The sequence below is a fragment of the Homo sapiens genome, chromosome 8, assembly GCF_000001405.40.
Source record: "Homo sapiens chromosome 8, GRCh38.p14 Primary Assembly".
Lineage (NCBI taxonomy): Eukaryota > Metazoa > Chordata > Mammalia > Primates > Hominidae > Homo > Homo sapiens.
This window is the reverse complement of record NC_000008.11, coordinates 111,237,865-111,248,805: the sequence shown is the minus strand read 5'-3', so window position 1 is coordinate 111,248,805 and position 10,941 is coordinate 111,237,865.

Genomic DNA, 10,941 nt, shown 5'->3' with positions numbered 1-10,941 from the left:
AGAAACCTGAAATATCGGTATTATTCTCCTACTCACAACTATGGCAACAGTATTCATAGGCTAGTGCTCCCGTAAGGCCAGATATCATTCTGAGGAGCTACAGTAATTACAAATCTACTATCAGCCATTCCATATATTGGAACTGACCTTTTGCAATGATGATGTGATGTAAAATCCATCATCAACATAATGCAAAGTAACTGAAAACCTTGGGACATTTTCTGACAAAACATATGTTAACTTCTCATTGGTGATTAGTGGTGATTCAAACATAATTGAGTGAAAATTAAATAAATGTGCCATTTTTAAGTGTAAAATAATTACTGTCACTTAAAGTATGTATGTAAAACTCATAATTTTCTAATTTACATTGACATAGGTTCTAAGGCTTTAATAAAGGTTTTCATCAGGGAAAATACATACTGGAAAGTTATCTGTCTCTGAGAAAAATATGAAGTTATGCAATAGAACTAATATTCTATGCACAGGTAGCAAAAGTCAATATTGCTAAGGCCTTGCTCTGGGTAAATATTGGAGAGGATGAAAAGTAACATGAGCTTAACCTCATTGTAGATTAGCATGGACTGAATGTTTATGACCTGACAAATTCATATATTAAAATTCTAACCCTAAAGATAATGGAATTAGGAGGGGGCCTGTGGGATATGGGATTAGTGCCCTTATAGAAGAGACTCCATAGAGATCTCTTGCCCCTTCCATCAAGTGAACTTACAGCAAAAAGATGGTTATCCAGGAAGTGGGCCATCATCAAACACTGATTCTGCAAGCACCTTGACCTTGGACTTCCTAGGCTCCAAAACTGTGAGGAATAATTTTTTGTTGTTTGTATTCTACTCAATCTATGATATTTTGCTGTTGTAGCCCAAACAGTCTAGCACAATGTCCCAAAGAATATGAGTATAAATATATATACATATATGACATACGTATGTAAGTATACAAACATTGATTTCTGAAAAAGTCACTCTTTAATATATGTTATATTTCTACATTTCTATTTTATTGTATATGCTAAGATAGAATGAACCACATGAGTTGATTCATTCAATTTCTTGTTCATTTTCCAGTTTGCACTTATACCATGTCCTTTCTTGATTTCTAATATATATCTCTTCTCAAGACTAGAGAAGTACACCCAAGTCCATCTTTCTACAGAAGTTTCCTGGATAAATAATCTAAATAAATCGCAGTCATCCCTTCGTATCTTTGGTTTCAACATCCATGGATTTAACCACAATTGATCAAAAATATTTTTAAAAGTTGTATCTGCACTGACTCTGTAGACTTTTATTTCTTGTCCTGATTCCCTAAAGAATACAGTGTCATAAGTATTTACATAAAATTTACATTACATTAGGTATTATAAGTAATCTAGAGATGATTTAAAGTCTGTGGGAAGATATGTGTAGGTTATATGTAAATACTACACCATTTATGTAAGGGACTTGGGCATCCCTGGATTTTGGTATCCATAGTGAGGTAAGTCCTAGAGCCAACCGCCAACAGACATCAAGGGATGACTCTACTTCAGCGAAAGGGAATAAGCAACAAAAATAATCATTTAAGGAGACCACTCCATTAAAGAGACCACTCTTTTATTTGTTCTTTCCAAAAAATTGTTCGAAGACAAATCACATGTAAATTATTGTCATTTCTAGTCTTTATAAATAATAGAGTGAAATGAGAGGAAAAATAATTTATTTTACCTATATTAATAATGCTTTGTTTGGGGTTTATGCAACTTGGGGATGGTTGAGCCAAAAGAAAAATCATAATAATGACAATGACAATGATAATAATAAAGAAGTAGAAGAAGAAAAGGAGAAAAATAATTGAGTTGCTTGGTTCCAGATAACACTGAAAGTTTTAATTTTGAAAAATGTGTTTTATGATGAAGAAAAACAGGAAGAAAAATGAGAAAAAGAGGCAAGAGAAAAATAATTGGATTGCTTAGTTCTAGATTACACTGAACATTTTTCTTTTTGAAAAATATATTTTATATCCAGTTATAATATTACTATACTGATGAACTAAAAAGAAAATAGAACATTCTTGGTATGCTCTTGCTGAGTTATTGTTTTAGGAATATTCAAGTATTCACCTGCCTACTTATCAATTTTTTTCTTGGATGTCTCATAGGAAACTAAAACACAGTATGTCCCAACTAAAACTCTTTATGCTATTTCCCAATACCTGCTCTTAGTCAAACAAATACATCAATACTTCCTGTATTTGTAAATGTTACCAATTTATACCCTATTACTGAAGGCCAAAACCTAGGAGTCACAGTTAAAACTTCATCTCATTCTCTTGAAATGTTAACATAGAAGAACAGGTGAGGTAAAAGTAGAAGGCTAGACCCTCTTGCACTGACCCCTCCCTTTTTACCTCAGTATAGATTCTTAGTAAATTGTAGGGAATTAAAATTCCCCAAAGGGTACATTTCTTCTGTACAATATTTATTCAGGCTATATAATTGAAGTAGAATTCCTTTACACCAGAGTGTGAAGACAAATTGCCTGCGAACCAAAAGTAAAACCCCAAATACCCTGTAGAAAAGGAAGTTCTCTATTAAATTTCATTTAATTCAGGCTTTTCTGAGTGAAATTAAGTGTCTATGTTAGGATCATGCTTGTTCCCGAAGGATCACCCATACAAAGCTACAGCCATACCAAAAAAAAAAAAAGAAAAAGAAAGAAAGAAGAAGAAATAACATTATACAGTATAATAGATGGAGGGTTGTGTAAATAAATAAACAGATAAATAAAAATGGTAAAAATCAACAGAAAGGATCTTTAACTTGTTTAGCTGGACAAGAAGAATTGGATAGTACAAAGATTTCTGCAGGTCATATGTTTGAAAGGGCTTACCAGAATTTGCAGGGTGTACTCATGTATGGCTATTATTTAGGTAAAGAAAAGGGACAGCAAAAGATTGACTGTCCTGCATGTCCCTCTTTTAAATCAGTAAGGTCTGTGCAAAAAATGCAAGTCGGATTTACAAGTCAAATTTGTTAAACCCATTGGGCCAGTTGCAAACCATTGTTAAATATACTGACCCCAAGGGTCCTTCATCAAGTTTCAGACTTAAAGAGCACATTGTAAATCCACTGTTCTCATACTGGCCAAGTTTAAAGAAAGTATTTTAAGTTCATCTGTAAATCAACTCTATCTCCTGAAACAGCCTAGTAAATTTCTTAAGTGACTGCATATTTATATTGAACATAAATGAATTACTTTGTTACAACATGTGTCTATAGTGGGGTTTTTATTTGTTTGTTTTTTAGTTTGTCCAGTAAAGATGTACAAATTAGAACTCTAATAATTTATGCAATATTAATTGGGTTAACAGGGATTCCTGATTTTCCAGAAAAAATGGTTAGATTCAATAGTTCTATTTTGTATTAAATGGTGATACATATCTGTATATACACATATATATATGTAGCTACATCTATATATAATTGCAAGAAATAAGGTTAATTTTTCCTTTTATTTTCTTTTTTTAATTGGGAAATTTATTGTAGATGTGTGTGGATGTGACTGTGGTGTGTGTGTTCATCTAGTAGTAAGTGACTTTTCATTATAATTTTATTTTTATTTTTTAATTTATTTAGATTTTGTTAGAACTGTTTGGAGCTCAGGTCAAAACTGAGCAGAAAATAAAGAGTCCCCATCCACCCTCTGCTACCACGCATGCAGAGCTTACTCCACTATCAACATACTCCAGAATGGTATATTTGTTCCAATTGATGACCCAACATTGACAGGACATTATCACCCAAAGTCCATAATTTATATTAAGGGTCATTCTTGGTGTACATACTATGAGTTTTGACCAATGTATTATATTTTTATACTATTATAATATCATCCAGAAAAGTTTGACTGCCCTAAAAATCTTCTGTGATTCAAATATTCATCCCTTTCTTTCCTCTAATTCTGAGCAACAATTAATCTTTTTACTATCTTCAAAGTTTTGCCATTTTCAGAATGTCATGTACTACTACAGCTGAATCATATAGCACATACAATTTCCAACTGGCTTCTGACACTTGGTAATATGCATTTCTTTCCTCCATGCCCTTTCATGGCTTGGTAGGTCATCTCTTTTTAGCAGTGAGTAATATTTCTTTGTCTGGATATACTATTTTATTTTACTCAGTCACTATTGAAGAGCATCTTTATTGTTTCCAAATATTGGCAACTATGAATAAGCTGCTATGAATAGCTATGTGCATGTTTTTATGTAGGCATCAGTTTTCAATTCATTTGGCTAAATACCAAGGAGTATGATTGCTGGATTATATGCTAAGAGTTTGTTTAGTTTTGTTAGAAATAGCCAAACTGTTTCCAAAGTAGCTGTACAATTTTGCATTTCACCAACAATAAATGAGAGTCATTATGGTGTATTTCTCCCCCTTGAGTTAGAGCTGGTGCTGTTAGGAACATCAATGACAACATTACCATAATCATAGCTTAAAATACACCCCAATTGCCTGGAAATCATTTCTTTTCTTTTCCTTCTTTTTAATTTTTTTTCTTGGCTGATAAAAGATAATGGAGGTTATAATTTGGGGATCCAAGAAAACTCATACGGAATTAAAAATATAGACAGGGGAATATTATACTTTGATCTACTTCCTAGATCATTCAGATGCTGGTATTCTAAACCACGTGAGTAATTTTCTTCTCAAATTGTAGAAAAATTGGTATCTTAAATCTGCTTCATGAGATTAATATTCTCTGTTAAAACAGTTTTTAACAGAGACAAAGTTAATGTGGGAGAAATTCCTACAAAAATGACTAATGAGAAAGATTTTGAGTAGCCAGTTTTTTGCACTGTTTATGATGCATTACATAGTTTGGACAGAGACAAATTTCCTGCTCACAGTATTTTTCTTTAGGAAAATAGTTTCTTAAATCTGTAAAAATTCTAGTAGAGATTAATACAATTTAAAATGAGATTGATTCAATAGCAGAAAGAGTTAAACTCTAAGAATCTACTATATCCAGGTCAAAAGCCTTGACAGACTATCAATTTAGACAGTAAAAATTTCTGGGAAGGAAGCCAAGTGAGATAGCACCAAGATAAAGAGCTGTAAATCTGAAGAATGAAGTTCTCTCTGCTTCTAAAGGACCACCTTACTTATCCTGCTCTTTTTAAATTTAAAGATATTTGCTTTATAAAGTCTGAGGAAAATGGTGGGGACTTATCAAGGGTTAAAGGCAACAAGCATTAATTTTTGCCTCCAAGTTCATTAAGACATCAGACATATTTAGAAGAACCGTAAGCTGTACGCCAGAGTTCAGGTATTTAGGATGAGATAAAGTTTATTTCATTCTTTTTTCATAGTGGGATTACCTTAAAAGAAAAAGACTACTATAATTTTGGAGGAAATAAATAAACATAAATCTGAGTTTGCAAAGTTGAAGTAACTGGAAATGTCCTCATGTTTCCCTGGGTATGTTTTTAGAATTAGTTTATTCTGCTCTTGCAAAAATACCATTCTTACCTAAATAGAGCAAAGGAATACAGGCCATTGATTACTGGGCATTTTAAGTGAGACAGCTCAGAGATGTTAACCTTCACCAAAATTCTAGCATTCAAGATACAACATTTGATAGTAGGGTTAGTGAGTAAAACTAGAACAATGATACAGATTTTGAGGAAGGAGTGATCTAATCCCCTATTTATAATATAATTATGTAACTGATGCCTGTGAATTACCTCTGGTTATCAAAAAATAAATGATGTTGTATCTTCTATTGATATAAGGGCATCTGATAGAATTTTATTTTGAAATATCTCTCCGCATTTCAATTTGTTTGGTAGAAAGTCAATGATCTGGGGAATGCATCAACTTCAATACAAGTTCATGTTGACTGCCAATACAGGTTCTTTCACATTACTTTGGCAAAGCAAAAAAAAAATCATATTTCCTGTTTGGTTGCCGGAATATATAAATTTATCAACATTTCCATAATCTGAAAAAAATAGATTATAAACCAATGAACTTTGAAGTTGGGTTTCTTTGGGAAGTAGAATTTGAAACAGAGGTTTATATACAAGGATTAATTAGGAACTGCTCTTTTAATAAACATTGTTGAGGAGTGAAGAAAGCAGAATTGGCAGAACAATAATTTGAACTAAGATTTGGTTACAACAGAGGTCTTGGCTGATCAAACTCAGAGCTCTGGCATGGGGATAACCCTACAGACTTGTCATGTATTGAAGCCAGGCAACTTGCCTTTACATTCATTGCCTTGGCCAGATATTGAACACTGCCTTCTTGGGTAAGAGAATATAACTTTAGGCAAGAAAACTTTTTTAGATGAGAGTCATTCTTAAAGAGGGGCTCAGGAGATAGATGTGAGCTGCCAACACTGCAAAAACCTGAAAGAAATGAATGATTTATTCTGGTAGCAGGGGATCTCTAGGAAGCCCTAAGAGCATAGACCACCTCTTGTGTGACTTAGAGCTGCTTGTTTGTATAATGTGATAAGAAAATACATTTTAAGTAATGTTAGCCAGCAGCTCTTCCAGGAATAATTACAAACTGATGTTTATGCGTATGCATTAAAGTTCGCATTGCTATACCTTGTTGATATTATATTCCTGCAGTTATATGCTCATAACTGAAACTGATTCTTATGTTATCTCTAATCTACTACCAAGTCTAGTTTTGTCTTGTGTTTGACTTGTGCTTCTGGTGGTTTCAGAGATTTACCTGACGGCTTGACTAAGAACTTTATCCCTGAGTGGTCTTAACTCCTGATCAACAAGCACTTCTCAGATGATAGTTAGTGAACTTTCCCACTTACCTTCATTATTTGGCAAAGAATAGATGCACAAGTGAATCACTTGGGTGCCTGAATATGTATTATTAGTTCAACTATCTCCTGATGATTTAAGTTCATTATCTCTAAAAAGAACGTGACTTGTTTCCTTGTCAGTGGTTCTCCTGCAATGAGGAGACTGAAGTGAATGAGTGATAGCCATAGGTTCGAATTGAATTGGACTCTTGCTATTTCCCTAATAGAAGCATTTTCCTTCTGAGAACCAAGGCTCCAAAACAAAACCTACAGTTGTGTAGATAGGAAAGGCAAAATCTCCAAGTGTGCTTCTGGAGAATGCTGAAAAGTGACACTACTACTTATGCGCTTTGGATTGTATTTTACTTATTAAGGACACAGGGCTTCATAATTGTCACTGATGTAGAGTGTATACTTTATCTTTGCATATAGTGTCCATCACCACAAGGCATCATATCCAAATGGCACTTCAACTTCACCTTGAACAGGCCATTCCTTTGCCCTGTTAAGCCAGCACCTTCTGTGTACTGAATGGTGCAGTAATATGATAGGACTCTTGGATTTTAGATCATGAGTTGCAAAATTCTTGATAAATAATTGGTCTCTTAATCCAATTCAGTATTATTCAGGATCCTGTGTTGGTGAATGAAATACTCTGTAATCCTTAAATATTGTATGGGCAAGACATTATGTGCAGCAAAGGCAATACCATATTTTATATGTGTTGATTCTAGCCAAGATAAATTGCCACACCTTTTGGGATTGAAGGGGTCCAAGGTAATGTCTCTTTGCCATAACAAAGTGGCTGGTTAATCCCCTTAAAAGACAGTGACATGTTAAGAGTTCATAATTTGTCACTGTGGGTTGCAGTTACAGTAGCTAAATTGCCCTTCTCACTTTATGTTCACCACGACAGTTCTTTTTATATGCCTCCTACTCATGGTCTCCTAGTCTGTCATTTCAGACCTAGATCAACCAGCCCAGTCAAGCCATTCATACTGGGGTGTGTGTGTGTCATACTTTTCTCAGGCTTACTCTCTTTTCTCATGGAGTGAAGGTCCAGATTTAATGTGAAAACTAACCATCAGGAAGGTTTTCCCTCCCCACTGCCTTTCAAGGGCACCTAAAGGAGGTCTGTAGTATACTCCAAATGCATTTTCCGCTTGCCCTGACATATGAAGTGAAATCACATACCATATCAAGACAATCCATCTGTAAAAACAAGCATGGTCTTTCTACTCCTTCTGCTGGTTTTATTGGAACCACCCTAAAGGGACACAGTGTGAGCTCATGGAGAGGCATGGTATAAGCATGGGGCATGGTACAAACACAGGGGCTGGCTACCTGCTCACACAATTTACTTCCATCCTCCAATATTGCTTGTGAACTGGGTTTACCACTTTTACTTCACCATGAAATCCTGCCTACCCATCCAGTTTTACGAATTAGTGAGTGCAACAGAACTTACCTCATGGTTGGCATTTCTAGCTACCAGGCACCTTGGTGTTTTTTGGACAGGCACTTCATTTCTACCTGGATTCACTATCGTGTCAGGAACTGCTTTTCAAATGGTATTTTCCTCTGTGGATGGCATAGTTTTATCAATGATCTATCAGGCTGCCTTATGATTCTCCGATGGAGGCTTGCTATAAACTCCACACAGTGTCTTTCTGTAACACTAACAAGTCTAGAACCATAGGGTCTGCCAAATCCTATAATACAAAAATAGGATGGACTTGCATTACATTTCAGACCTTCTTCAGCATCCTTTCCTGCTCTGATACTCACCAAGAGTTGTTAGTCTTTTGTGTCACATAGTATATGAGTTAAAACATCATTACAAATTGTGGAACATGGTAATTCCATAAACCCAAAGGCCTACCAAAGATTTTGTGTGTTTGTTTTTCTCTCTTATTGTGGAAAGTGTAAGTTACAATTTCTCTATTACCTTAAAGGAGCCATTCCAGTATATACATACCCTAAATCACTGGAAGCCTAATATTTCCTACTAATGATGAATGCCCCTGAATATATTTAAGCTTTATTTCAACCCTCTGGAATGCATGTGTCTTACCAAAACTTTTAACCTACTGGCCACTTCTTGTGAATTGGGAGAATTAATGTAATACAGTTGATATAGAGGATCAATGTCATAGTCTCTATTTCTCTTCAGACCATATTATGGCAGAGAAAAGAAGAGTTGGGCAAGACCAGAAATGTATGTTGTTTAGGATCCCATCTATATGCAAATTGTTTGGTTTTCGTTGTTGTTAGTTAAGGTCTTCTGAGAAGCACACACAAAGACATAATTAGACGATGAAGACATTTAATGGGCAGGAGAAGGTAGGCAGAACCTTGTAACCTTGACATAGAATTTATAACTATAAAAACAAGGGGAAAGAAAGAAGAATTGATTTGGAAGAGTCGCAGACTGCAGTGAAGCTCTGAGAAATTCTTGACCAAGTAAACGAGAAGCCCCAGAGGAAAAAATGCCCATTAGTGGAGTAATACATTGGGCTAGAAACAACCCAACTTTATTCCCTAGTCATGCTTATTCTTTGTCTATAGGAAATCCGGGGAGAATGCAGCCTTGTCATGAGACTGCTGGAAATCCAAATGTGTGACAGATGGAGGATTGTTACCATCTACGCTGCTCACAACAGGTTCTCTTGAAAGGACATCTGAGCAGCACAACTGCATGGCTGTCAAAACCTGACTCTGATCAGGTTTTAACACTATATTTATAATTTTCTTCGGAAAGAAAGCATCTATTTTCTGGATCAGACATTAGAATTAATTACAGCAATAACAACATCACTTTCCCTTATCCCAGTCTCTCCAAGGCAATGAAATGAGGGCAGTTGTCAACTGCACTTTCGGGTCTGTGCTACAGAAGAGGAGCCCTCAAGTGACAAATCTAGGATCTTATAAGGAGCTGCTGTGCAGCTACCGCCCTCCCCTCCTGAGGAAAGAAGAGAAATCTTATTTTCCTAATGTAAACAAATCTCAAAGAAAAGTCCCTAGGTTTTTGCCTTCCTTCATGGCTTGAGGTTTTTTTCCTTTTCAAAGTGTAAACACATGGTTCAGAAAGAGATAAACTTATACATCTCTCAGGAGTATTTTATTCTTAGGTTTCTGTTCAACAGTCCATTAACCTAGATTGCCTGTATTTGTTGCTCTGAAAGCCATGAACATTCAGAAGCATGAAAACATTTTTTGCTACAATTTCATACTTCTTGCACCGCACAAATACGCTTAACATATGCACAGGCGGGAAGCAGCTCCTCTATGGCTCCTATGGGCCTCTCTTTCTCAGTTCAAATTTAGAAGAGGGAGGTTAGTGACACGCAGACCCAGCTCCGTAGTTGTTTTCAAGGCCAAGCTTGGCTTCTATAGCCTTCTTCCTCTATTATTTATTCTAAATTCTCATGCTCAGCTATCATCTTTGCAGTTTGGTTTCTTATGTGGTAACGGAACTCAAACTCTCATTCCTGAGTGATGTGAGTTCTTGGTAACCACCCTCTTCTGAGGCCAGAAATGTTGCATGAATACATTTATGGTTACAATTAGAAATAAAACACTAAGGGATACTAAAATGAATTGATGGCATGAGTTACACACCTATTTCTTCCTTCCCTAATTGTGTAAAACCATCTGTACCACTTTCTGCTGATCAGAAGAAAACACCCTTGTCAAGATAATGCGTTCTTTACTTATCTTCTGGTCCCTATACACAAAATGTCTAAAGTGCTTAGGTGGCAAGCACCTAAAAAGCTAAAACATGTAGTTTAATGTGATGCTTACTGTATCATGAGAAAGTGATCTTATGTAGTCTAAAATTCTCCTTAATTCATTATTACATTCCTCCACCCTTGATTCAGCACCTTCAGAATCCAATCACACACATACAATCCTGTCTCCTTCTAGTAATTGTTGGCTAAGATCTGCAATTCACTTATGACGTATTCTGTACCATTAATAAAAATGTCTATTCCTTTCCATACCGGATAATATTATGAATTAATGCTTGTAGTAGGCTAAATATGGCCACCCCCAAATATTAAGTCCTAATACTTGAGACATAAAAATGTTAAGTCCTAATGCT